The 12826-nt window shown below is 40.8% G+C and overlaps 2 protein-coding genes and 1 pseudogene across 13 annotated transcripts in view; 2 read left to right on the top strand and 1 right to left on the bottom strand.

Moving 5' to 3' along the window:
* The window catches only part of POC1B-DUSP6 (POC1B-DUSP6 readthrough), a 177983-nt gene that overhangs the window by 22913 nt on the left and 142244 nt on the right, over window positions 1-12826 (top strand). For 4 of the 6 annotated variants that reach the window (NR_189589.1, NR_189587.1, NM_001425795.1 and 1 more), the window contains exons 3-4: window positions 5793-5964; window positions 11020-11199. Coding sequence is in view for 3 of the 6 variants with exons in the window: in NM_001425795.1 (NP_001412724.1) it covers window positions 5793-5964; window positions 11020-11199 (352 nt within the window). In the remaining 3 variants the exon portion in view is untranslated. The remainder of the gene's footprint in view (window positions 1-5792; window positions 5965-11019; window positions 11200-12826) is intronic. The other 2 variants (NR_189588.1, NM_001425796.1) reach the window with 1 other exon arrangement.
* POC1B (POC1 centriolar protein B) overlaps window positions 1-12826 on the top strand; it is a 124581-nt gene that overhangs the window by 22913 nt on the left and 88842 nt on the right. For 4 of the 7 annotated variants that reach the window (NM_001425772.1, NM_001425771.1, NM_172240.3 and 1 more), the window contains 2 exons: window positions 5793-5964; window positions 11020-11199. In NM_001425772.1, coding sequence (NP_001412701.1) covers window positions 5793-5964; window positions 11020-11199 — 352 coding nt within the window. The remainder of the gene's footprint in view (window positions 1-5792; window positions 5965-11019; window positions 11200-12826) is intronic. The other 3 variants (NR_037659.2, NR_037660.2, NM_001425773.1) reach the window with 1 other exon arrangement.
* On the bottom strand, window positions 53-3193 carry CENPCP1 (centromere protein C pseudogene 1; annotated as a pseudogene).

The following is a 12826-nucleotide window of genomic DNA, read 5'->3' as shown; positions in this document are numbered from 1 at the left end:
GGGAGAGGGAGACCGTGGGGAGAGAGGGATAGGGATAGGGATAGGGATAGGGATAGATGTCTTTTTTTCACAAAAATGAATAATTTTTTTATTTTAAAACATCACAAGTAATTACAAAGACAAATGTCCCAACTATACAAACTTTTTCACATATACATATATACACACATATATTTAAGGTTGGTTGATCTTTCATCTTTTTATCTGAGTAAAAAGAAGAACACTTTCCTCATTCAGGAGATTTTTGATGTTATAATAGTTACCTGAAGGAACATAGAACGAATCCCCAGTACTTATTATATAAGGTATTTCGTGTAAAGTACACGAAAGGTCACCAAAGTTAACATAAAAAAACAATATATCCTGGCCAACATGCTGCTTTCCCTTTTCTTCTTGTGGTCTTAATATCAATTTCCCAGTAGAAAAAAAGGGTGTATCCAATGTGTTATATACCTTCAACTCACCATGCTTAACAAAAAATTGATATGTATCTTGTGGCCTTACAAGATCCATGAGAATAATCTCTCTTGTTTCTGGGTCCTTTACCATTGCTGGCTGCAAAGGATCTCCAAGAGGTATACCTAGATTTACCATTAAGCTAGTCTTTCTTTCATCGTTATCAAGACAGATCCTTTTCTTATTAGATTTTTTTGTCAACTTTTCCAATATTTTCTCTTGCCTTCCTTTTAGACGATATTTTGCCTGGAGATAGTATTCCACTAATCACGAATCCTCCTGATGGCCTTCCTTGATAATCTATTTGCTGTCCTCGCCAGTACTCCAAAGGTTTCAAACGTGTTCTCTTGGTCCTGCGAACATTTGGTGTGTTGGAGGGCAATACTAGTTTGTGATGGATTCTGTTCTTTGGTATCACTTTAGTTCGTTTTGAGTCATCTGAACTTCCAGGAACTTCCTCATCATCCACATCATTATTATTCTTTCCAGACATTAAATAATTATTATTGAGCCTGGAAGGTCCACTTTCCTCTAAAACTGAAGTCTTATGCTCTCCAGAATCCAAGTTTGACTCTGTTGGTGTATTACATGTATATCCACTGGTCTGAGGCTTTAGGGGAACATTCTGTGCAGTCATAATATTATCTTCATTCTTTGAGCTTCCTGTAGATCTAGAACAATCCAGATTTTTCCTCTTAGCCAAGTCTGCCTCATCACTTTCCAATGGCTCACTCAGGAAACAACTGGAAATTTCATCATGACCAATGATACCTCCAGAACCTTTAGCATTTAAAAACTTCTGTACTCTTTGGCTGTCTTTAGTTGCTGTCTTCTGCCTTTTAAGTGGAATAGTTTTTTTCCCAATATTCTTAGATGACTGATTTGTTTTCTTAGCAGATTTTTGCCTACTGTTGTGATGCAGTGGTAATTCATTTCTTATTGAAGAATTGCTATAAACAGGACTCTCCTCTGATTTTACCACCCACCAATTAGACGGATGCCTGGAAATTCTTCGACTTCTCGTGACAGTTGAAGTCACTTCTTCAGACACAAGTTTGTTCTTGGACTCACTAGAAAAGCGCTTCTTTTTAGATTCTTCCTTATCTTTTCTAGTGCTACTTTTCTTGCTTCCCACAGGTGGCATCTGTATTTTGGAAGCACAATCATTTCCCATCTCTTCACGCTCTTCCATATTTCTGTCTGAATTTCTTTGAAATTTGTCTTGGGTAATATGTGACATATGTATGTTTTCATCTTTAGTCTGTCCCACATCGAGCTGTTCTTCAGCTGGTTTAGCCATAAATTTTCTTCTCTGTTTTTGTTTTATAGTCCTTTTGCTTCCAGATGATTTTTCTGCATTCTTGGAATACATTTCATATTTTGTAGATCTACAGTCATTTTCTGTTTCACCTGTCAAAGCATAACTTGTATCCAGTACTGTTTTATCAGAGGGCTGAGATGTCTCTACTAGGTGAGGTTTATGGGAATGTTTGTCATTTGCCAAAGTCTTAGCTAATATATTATGATGCTTTTCTCTTGACTTTCTATCTTGAAGGAGTGCAGTGCTCTCAGCCGGGGATATGGTGCGTTGTTTCAGAGGCCCCGCCTTTCTTGGTATAGTAATCCCAAGATCTACTGGCAAAACTTTGATCTGACTTATCAATTATAAATTCATCCTCTATCAACTTCATATCATCGGGAGGACACGAATGAGGTGGAACAATTCCTCCATGCCTAACAATGGGACTGGATTCACTTTTTCGTTTTACTGTTTCTAAAAACAATGTTGAAAAACTTTTTTTAGCTTGTCATTGAATTTCATATTCTGAATGTCGTATTCTATTCTGAGATGATCCTGATGGTTTTCTTTCTTGTCCTTCTGATGTTTTATCCTCTTTATCTGATACTTTATTATCTATTTCTATCTATTTCTATTTTCTTTAAAATAACTTTATCTTCAAAGTTTAATCTTTTTTTGGTTTTAAGTGAAACCTCTGTACTTGAAGGCAGCATATTTACTGAATTTTCAAAAGTGTAAGTCTCTCTCTTTTGGGCACTAGATGGAATAACATTTTGCGATACAGATGTTTTTGCATCCAAAAGAACAGAAGGTGAGCCAACAGATAAGTAAAATTCTTCATCAGCTTCACTGTGATGATCATTTATGTTTCTACTTCACATTTTTTTCAAGTCAGGTGTATTTTTGGAACTAACATCAGTTGCCAGAATTTTCTGACGAACTTCATGGGCCTGAACTGATCTGTTGGTGGCTTCACTTGGTTCTACAACAAACTGCAGAGAGGCTTCTTTCTTCCTTGAAGAAAGTGGAACTGACTTTGGATGTGATTTCTGGCACTCTTTGCTTGGTGACTGAATACAAGTGTCTTTTATTTTGCGTGTTGAATTAAGCACTGATTTTGTAGAATTTGTGCTAAAATCATTGGCAAGACTTTTTTCTTCAAAACAGTCTTGTAAGATTTCCAGAACATTCTGGCCTTGCTCTGTGTTAATGTCACGTGCCCTGGAAGGTTGACAAAATCTTCTTCTGTAGCCATTTTTGAGATGATCCAGACCCGACACAGCCATGTTCCGGCCCCGCTGAGCCAGCGCAGGTGTCTGAGGTGGAAGCCCACACAGACCACAGCTCCAGGAGGCCGAGCAAGAAATGAATCGCCGGACTACCAGGCGGCGGCCAAGCAACACCCTTAAGTCGAAGGCGATGGCCGCCGCAAGAGCTGCGATCTGGAAGGCGTGCGCCAACAACACTTCCCGGCCATTGGCTCTGCCCTCAACAAACACGTTAATGTCTTTTTAAAGCAGTGTTTGCCTACCCCAAGGTCATGAAGATATTCTGTGTTCTCTTCTAAAAGCTTATTGTTTTACGTACCACATTTAGATCTGTTTTCTACGTGGAATTAACTTTTGTATGTGGTATAAAGTGTAGGATTCAAGATTAATTTTCTTCCTTATGAGTATCCAGTTGACCCACCACAATTGTTTTATTTTTTATTTCTTTCCATAATTTAGTACCCTCCTTTGAGAACACAATTAAAAAAAAATCCTTTCCTTATTGTCAAAGTGGCAGTGTTCTTAAACCAGATCATGAGATTGCCCCTGCTCAAAATCTAGAGTAGTTTCCCATCGCAGGTTTTTTTTTTCTTTCAATAATTTCAGCTTTTATTTTAGATTCAGGGAGTACATGTGCAGGTTTGTTACATGGGTTTACTCCATGATGCTGAGATTTGGGGTACAATTGATTCCATCACCCAGGTAGTGAGCATTGTTCTCAATAGTTTTTCAAACCTTTCCCCGCTCCTTTCCTCCCTCTTCTAGTAGTCCCCAGTGGCTATTGTTGCCATCTTTATGTCTATTGTACCTACTGTTCAGCTCTCACTTGTAAATGAGAACATACGGTATTTGGTTTTCTGTTCCTGCATTAATTCGCTTAGGATAATGGCACATTGCACTTTAGAAGAAGAAGACACACCTCCCACCATGGCTTCTCCTCCTCCATCTGCCCCCTTTTCAGCTTCCCTCCCACCGGTCTCTTCTCTCCTGTCTACTATGGAAACGCTGACCTCCTTGTCATTCCTCATTCTTCCAGGTGCTTTTGCACAGGGATTCCTGTGCTCAGAGTACTCTTTATCCATGTCTCAGCCAGGATCGCTCCCTATTTCACTCACCTCTCTGCTCAAATGTCCTTTCCTCAGAGTGGACCACCCAATCACCCCACCTAACATTGATGAGTAAATAATATATAAAAGTTTTCTGTATCTGTTTATTATTAATGCTGTCTTCCCTACTATGTGGTTCTTTGAAAGAAAGGATTGTATCTTATTTGCTTTTGTTTATCTCGTTTGCAGCATGATACACAGAACTCAAATAGTGTCCTGAGTTTATTACATATGATAACTCATCAGTTTCCTTGCTTTGTCTGCATTAGCCTTGGGTAATTCTGACTCTGCTATAAATCTTTAGTAATTTGGATAAGCTCTGGTGGAATATTAACTTTTTGTATTTTTTTAAAAAGGGGGTGCTAAGCAGTATTGTAGCTGAACTCACTTTTAACTGTTTTACATGGAAATAATGCATGGGCTGAGCCCAAATGAACTTTGTATGTTGGCAAAAGAACATAGGTTTCAGTGACTTTATATAGCCAGGCCCTATGTTTCTCTAACAGTGATACTAATTGTGTTCGAATTTATAACATTACATTTTTTTCTAAGCACTCTACAATCCAGATTTAGTGATTCTCATTGACCTACTTCCTATTATTGGAGCCATTCTAGGGCTACATGCATATAATAAAATTTGTTTTTTAGGCAAGAGTTAGATCTACCTTTCATTTGTTTATTTGTTCATTCTTTGTCAAGTCAGTTATTTCCACCATTGATTGCATTTTTCCTTTTTGTAAATCCTTAAACTATTGTCTGACACACACGATTCTTTTAATTCTTTTATTAATCATCAAATGCCATTAAATTATAGAGCAGAAAGAGACTAATAAAATCATCTTATCCAGCTATAAAAGTATTATTGGATCAGTTGATAAAATATAGTTGCTATATTAAAATATTGCATCTTTAATAATCAGCTTCATGAAGCTGCTAACTGTGCTATGGGTGTGTTAAGAGACTATCTTAAATCTTAGGAAAAACACACTGAAGTATTTAGGAATAAAGATGCTGTGAGTTGCATAACTTACTCCTAAATGGTTCAGGAACAAAAAAATACGTATGTGTTTGTGTGTGTGGGTTTACGTGTGTTCATGCGCAAGGAGAAACAAGTACAGAGCAAATTACAAACCAAATGAAGCAAAACATTAACAAGTAGATTTGGGTAAAAGGCATATTAGTGTTATTTGTACTATTCTTGTAACTTTTCTGTAAGTGTGAAATTATTTCCACATAAACAGTTTGAAAAATTATCTCATCCATCCCTCTCAGGAAAAACATTCAGTCCTCATGACATCATGACACAGAGGTTAACTAGCTTTCCATTACCCAGAGTTAGAAACAAAACTGACTCTTAGTCCCGTGTACCCTCTGTTACACTGTGCTGCGGCCTTCTAGTAAATAAAGTTACTGAGCGCTAATTGAATACGGGGGCCAGTCATCCTGCTGTGTGCTTACATAGGACACAGCCAAGCTTGCATATTAGTGATGTAGTTTTGAGTACCTTTAAAAAGTAATTTGGCTATTACCTGGGCAGCCTTACAACCTCCAGCCGCTCTATTACCTGGATGCCTTGTTATTAGATATGCTGCTCATTGTAATGAGACACACCTATGTTTGCATTTTAACAAACAGTGGTTTTGTTCTTCTATTTCTTGATAGCTACTGCTTCTTGGGATACCTTTCTCATGCTATGGAATTTCAAGCCACATGCTAGAGCTTACAGATATGTGGGTCACAAGGATGTTGTAACCAGCGTGCAGTTTTCTCCACATGGAAACTTATTGGCGTCTGCCTCACGAGACAGAACCGTGAGACTCTGGATTCCTGATAAGTAAGAGAAACAAAGAAACACTTGATATCCTTTGGATTTGGAAATGTGAAAGAAAGCTGACCCTGGCTGCTGCTCATGCACTGCTGCCTGCACTGTTATTCTCAGTCACATAAAAGGCATGCTGCCCTTGTGGTAAAGTCAAACTAATTCATACAATTTTTTTCCTCAAAATTATGTCTTCTTTTTGAAAACTATTTCCTACCATGGAAATATGCTTAATATGTCTAAGTTTTTTTGAGGGAGTAGTGGTAGCTATCCATCCCTTTGTAGATCTGAGGTAAGCTTTAGACTGTCTCCCCAGAATGATACACATCAGTATGTATAACCAAAAATTCAGTTTATTAACTTCCTAACGCCCGTTCATGGATCCTTCAAGGGCCCTTGGATCCCTATTGAAAACCCTGTGCCTTTGATTTGATTTGTATCACTCATTATCGGGGTCCAGAATTTTCTTGTTAAAGAAAATTTCTGACAAAAGTTTAAATCGTTGAATTTGTGTAAGGTCATATGCGTTATAACAAATCTCTGTAACGAGACTTTTCAAACCCTAACTAATAGCCCATCTATTTTAAGTAATTATTGAGCCATGATTTTTAAAAATGTTTTTAAGCTTTAAAGTATGTAAATTTTCAAGCATACATGAAAATAGAATGAATAGCATCACTCCCCTGCCTCATATTCCCGTCAATCAGCTTCAACAGTTGTCAGGATTCTGCCCATCTTGTTTCATCTACACCTCCCCTCACTTTTTCCCCTGGAGTATTTTTAGAAAAAATCCTACATATCATTTCCCCCCATAAATACTTCAGAGCAGAGATTCCCAACCCCTGGGCCACTGACCAGTACCAGTCCATGGCCTGTTAGGAACCAGGCCAGAGCTCTGCCTCTTGTCGGATCAGCGGCGGCATTAGATTCTCATAGGAGCACAAACCCTATTGTGAACTGTGCATGCGAGGGATCTAGGTTGCACACTCCATATGAGAATCTCATGCCTGATGATCTGTCACTGTCTCCCTTCAACCCAGATGGGACCATCTAGTTGCAGAAAAACAAGCTCAGGGCTTCCATTGATTCTACATTATAGTGAGTATGTAATAATAATAGAAATAGGGCTGGGCACAGTGGCTCACGCCTGTAATCACAGCACTTTGGGAGGCCAAGGCAGGCAGATCACCTGAGGTCAGGAATTTGAAACCAGCCTGGCCAACATGGTGAAACCCTGTCTCTACTAAAAATACAAAGTTAGCCAGGCGTGGTGTCACGCACCTGTAATCCCAGCTACTCGGGAGGCTGAGGCAAGAGAATTGCTTGAACCTGGGAGGTGGAGGTTGCAGTGAGCCGAGATCATGCCATTGTACTCCATCCTGGGTGGAAAAGAACAAAACTCCTTCTCAATAATAATAATAATAATAATACGAATAAAGTACACAATAAATGTAATAATGCACTTGAATCATCCCAAAATCATCCATCCTTCCCCCTGACTCCCTGGTCCCATGGAAAAATGGTCTTCCATGGAACTGGTCTCTGGTGCCAAAAAGACTGGGGACCACTGCTTTAGAAGATAAGAATTTGAGTATTTCCTTGACCCTGTTGTGGCAGGATTTGACTTGTAGTCTGTGACTATTCAGGCCCAGGCACTCCCAAATGAAGAAAAGCTCATGGGCATTCCCATGCCAGTGGGTGCTTTTTTTCTGCCACCACCCAAGGGGAACTCTATGCTGAGAAATCTGAATATATTCCAATGGTAGTGAAAACTATTGAAGAGAAGTGACATGTTATAATGGATGGCAATGTAGCAGGGAATTTTAAGGGAGAAGTAACTAGTTTGGGGTCCAAGAGGAGAAGCATGTTCCAAAACCCTTAACTTTGGGAATTTAGAACTAGCTTTTTTACTATCTTCTGCACAGCATAACTTCAGTCTCCCTTTACTAATTCAAGGAAATCTCAGTGAACAAATTGTATAAGGGTAGATGAGCTAAAAGCTCACTGAGTCATTAATTTGTCATAACTCATCTAAATACAATGATTAGGCTTGTGTAGGTGTCCCTAGTTTCTCTTTCTAAATCATGTCTTAGTAGGGACAGAGCAATAATGGTGGATCGTGGCAACGGGAAGGAAGATGATGTGTCAGTTATCTATTGCTGTATGACAGTCACAAAACCTTAGTACTTACTACAGAAACAATGATTTGTCACATTTTGTGGGTTGTCTGGATGGTTGTTTTGCTTATATGGTGCAGGCTGAGATTACTCATGCAGCTTCACAGTTCTTTTGCTTATATGGTGCAGGCTGAGATTACACATGCAGAGGAAAGATGGGCTCTGTTCCTCATTCGTATGCCTGGGGCCTTGGTGCGGGTTGTGGCAATGGCGTCTTGGTTCTCCATGTGCCGTCTCTCCAGCAGGATAACCTGTAGTTTTCTCACAGCATGACAGCTGGGTTCCAGGAGAATCAAAGCAGAAGCTGCTAGACCAATTAAGAACTAGGCCCAAAACTTGCAGTGTCACTTCTGCCACGTTCTGTTCCTCAGAGTAAAGTCACAACACCAGCCCAAAGGGAGGAGAAATAAACAGACTCCACCTCCTTTGAAGCAGAGAGACATGCGTGTACAGGGATGAGATGAGTCACAACACCTCCTCTCACAACACCTCCCCTCAAAAGTCACAACACCTCCCCTCAAAGGGAGGGGAAATAAACAGACTTCACCTTTTGTGAAGCGGAGAGACATGCATGTACAGGGATGAGATGAGTATTGGCAGCCATATTTGCAGATAGACACCACAGCTGGTGACCAGAAGGCTAAGAAAGAATAGGGAGAGGCTGGGGGCATGACTCGCACCTGTAATTCCAGCACTTTGGGAGGCTGAGGCAGGAGGATCACTTGAGGCCAAGAGTTCAAGACCAGCATGGGCAACATAGCGAGACCCTGTCTCTATAAAAAATAAAAATAAAAAAATAAAATTAGCTGGGCATGGTGATGCACACCTATAGTCCTAGCTCCTCAGGAGGCTGAGGAGGGAGGAGCTCTTGAGCGCAGGAGTTTGAGCTGCAGTGAGTAGCGATTGCACCACTGTATTCTAGCATCTGTGACAGAAAGATAACACGTCTCAAAAAAATAAATAAATAAGAAAAGAATAGGTAGGAGCAAGCCTGAAAGCAAGTCTGGCTCAGAGTTGGTCACAGTGGGCAGTCAAGAGAATTTAGCTGAAAGGGCAAGTAAATATGTAGGAAGGAGAGAGCCTATATTAAGTTAAGATGAGGAACTAGAAACCAGTTAGGCACCAGCACAATAAACATAAGGCACTCCTATCTTGGTTTCTTCTGTGTTTCCTGTTGAGACTGGATCCAGTGCTTGGTTTAGCCTACGGCTGAGAGGACAGCCTTTTAGAAAGGAGGCAAACAGAACAGCCTGCTGGAGTGTGGAGTGCAGAACTAAAAATCAGGGCAGATTTTGATGATACTGATGGTCTGTCTCTTAGCTTCCTGGTCATTGCAGATGCCTTTTCTTTTCTTTGTTTTCTCTAGGCATTGTACTTGAATTCAGGCCAAACTATACTCCTGATTTCCACTCATGAAATTTACCCTTGAAACTTCACTGAGCTAGTCCCTGGATGCTCCCTCCTAATTTTTGTTTAATATGTATTTCAGTTTTTCCTGAGTAATATCATATGTCAGGTGATGGAAATTTATGATAAAGTTACCTTTCCTCCCTACAGACCACTGGAAGGGTAAGCCAGGTTGGATCTACGAGCCTTTATTGACTGTTCCAAGTGGAATTCAACGTGTATTGAGTTCTTTTTATGTGCTTGACATATTGCTAGATGCTAGTCTTATAGAGATGAATAAATCATCATTCCTGTGCTTCAAAAATGTGCTGCTTAAGAGGAGACAAATCGTTCTTTAGAAAGTCACTGTATAATGTAGTAAGCAAAATCGTTGTAGCAAATAGGGAGCCATTAAGCCTGTCTGGCTTGGCCAAGGGGGTCTGGGGATGGGGAAAATAGTCCAGCCTGAGAAAGCAGTAAGTGCAAAGGCAGGGGTGTGTTTGAAGGGCTGTGACTGTTCCGAGTACAAAGTTCAGTGTGAGTGGCAGGATACCTCACCAAAGTACTTGGGCATTGTGCTTTCTTTTGGAGAAGAGCCAGTGACACATTTACGCTGGGATTTACATGCTTGGAGTTACGCTCTTAGCAAGGTAATAAGCACAATATGTAGGTGACTGGCAGGGGACAAAAGATTAGAGCAGAGAGACCAGTTAAGAGGCTTTTGCAGTAACCTAGGTGAAGGATGTTGAGGATATATTTACCTTAAGGCAAGCAGAGCCAACATAGAAGAGGAGGATTCAGAAGATATTTAGGAAGTGAGGATGATATGGTTTGCTAACTTACTGGATGTGGGAGAGGAAGCAGGAGTTGAGTGTGACTTCCAGGCTTCTGGCTTGGACACAGGCGGATGTCACGCTGACCAGCCAAGGTAGCAAAATACAGGATGAGGTGCAGGTGTATGGGAGATCAGTGTGAACATTTGAACATCTGAGACACATATATTGTGGCCAACTAAATTCTGTTGCCTGATGTTTTTCAAGCATTTATGACAATTTTCCCCATAGGTTATCTTGAGTATCAATATGATTTTCTAAATGGGAAAATTGCTGAGTCCTAGATACAATGTAAGGTGAAAATGCCTTGGCAACTTGGGAACACTGACACAAAGTAGCGTTTATCACATATCACCTTGTAACTCCAACACTATCTAGCCTTCTCCCATTTTAAGGTTTTCTACTTCTCAAATGCCTCACATTATTTTCCCCATCTTTTGTTTTTCTATTCTCTTCTTTTCTACCCTTTAGTTCTCAACACCTGAAATTTCATGGAAATTTCAGTGTTGACGAAGAGTACAGTACAACATAGCCCTTTCATACTTTTGTTAGGTTTTACAAGAGTTAAACCATTTTATTTAAACTATTTTATATGTTTCAAAGTCTGTATTGTGATTAAGTATTAACTATAATTAAATCAAATGAGTTATAAATATTAAACTGTTTATTTCCAGGAGAGGAAAATTCTCAGAATTTAAAGCTCATACAGCTCCAGTTCGAAGTGTAGACTTTTCAGCTGATGGCCAGTTTCTAGCTACAGCTTCTGAAGACAAATCCATAAAAGTATGGAGCATGTATCGCCAGCGCTTCCTGTATTCCTTGTATCGACATACACACTGGGTACGCTGTGCCAAGTAAGTGCAAAAAATTTCATATTAAGATGTCCACATATTTTTTCTGCTTCATGTTTGCCCCCAACTTCCAGAAAAAGGGTTTGAGGACATATTCATTCATTCATTCAACAGATATTTGTTGTGTGACTGCTTTGTGCGGGAACGGTAGTAAACAAAATAGTGAAAATCCTTGTTCTTACATTCCAGAGAGACAGACAAACAAGTAGGAAAATGGAGCAGGTCAGATGGCAGTAAGCACTATGGAGAAAGAGCTGGGTTAGAAGGGGGCGCGTAATTTTTTTTTCTTTTTTTTTTTTCTTTTTTTTTTTTTTGAGACACGGTCTCACTCTTGTTACCCAGGCTGGAGTGCAGTGCTGCCATTACTGCTCATTGCAACCTTGACTTCCTGGGTTCAGGTGATTCTCCTACCTCAGACTCTGAGTAGCTGGGACTACAGGCATGCACCACCATGCCTGGATAATTTTTTGTATTTTTAGTAGAGACAGGGTTTCACCATGTTGCCCAAGCTGGTCTCAAACTCCTCAGCTCAAGTGATCCACCTGCCTTGGCCTCCCAAAGTGCTGGATTTTCCCAGCACTTTTATTACAAGGGGCCTGTAATTTCAAATGACATTCAGGGAATGTCTTACAGAAAGTGTGACCTTTCTGTAAGAAAGATGTCCAAAGGGTGACCTTTGGACAGAGATGTAAAGGAGGGAGTGAGGCTTGAAGAAATTCAGGAAAGGAATGTTCTGGATAGGAGAAGCAAGGGCAGAAGCCCTGAGGCAGAGCCTGGTGGCTGTATGAGGAAAAGCACAGGTGAGGGTGGGTGGGGATGTAGGAGGGGCCCCAGGGAGGCTGGCCAGGTCAAGAGCAGCGCTGACTTGTGCCCTGGGTGAGAGGAGATGCCAGTGTAGTGCCCTCCTCTCTTTGACCTACATTTTGCTGGAATTGCTCAGACTGCTGTGTGGAGAATAGACTGTCAAAGCCAGGCCAGAAGCAGGGAGACCTTGTTAGGAGGCTGAGCAGTCCAGGTCCTGGCTTGGATCAAGGTGGTGGCTGTGAAAATTGAGATGTGGTTGGATTTTAGATAAAGTTGGAAGTTACAACTGGCAGTACGAGCTGTCACATCAGATTTGACGCAGCAAAGTCAGGAAGAACTCCAGAATCTTTGGTAGCAGTCTCTTGGCAGGTGAATGCTATTGTAGGTGTTGTTACCTGTTGGCCAACAGCTGTGGAGTCTTCCTATTCATAGGACACTCTGCTAAAGTACTGAAAGTGCAGATTGCATTTCCCTATCAGAACTGTCTGGGGGCTGGGCACGGTGGCTCATGCTTGTAATCCCAGCACTTTGTGAGGCCAAGGTGGGTGGATCACTTGAGGTCAGGAGTTTGAGACCAGCCTGGCCAATGTGGCAAAACCCTGTCTCTACTAAAAATACAAAAATTAGCTAGGCGTGGTGGCAGGTGCCTGTAGTCCCAGTTACTTGGGAGACTGAGGCAGGAGAATCACTTGAATCCAGGAGGCAGAGGGTGCAGTGAGCTGAGATCATACCACTGCACTCCATCCAGCCTGGGCAACAGAGTGAGACTCCATCTCAAAAAAACAAACAAACAAACAACAACAACAACAAAAACTGCCTGGGCGGG

The sequence above is a fragment of the Homo sapiens genome, chromosome 12 (assembly GCF_000001405.40).
Source record: "Homo sapiens chromosome 12, GRCh38.p14 Primary Assembly".
NCBI classification, from domain to species: Eukaryota; Metazoa; Chordata; class Mammalia; order Primates; family Hominidae; genus Homo; species Homo sapiens.
This window is presented reverse-complemented; position numbering and strand designations above follow the sequence as displayed.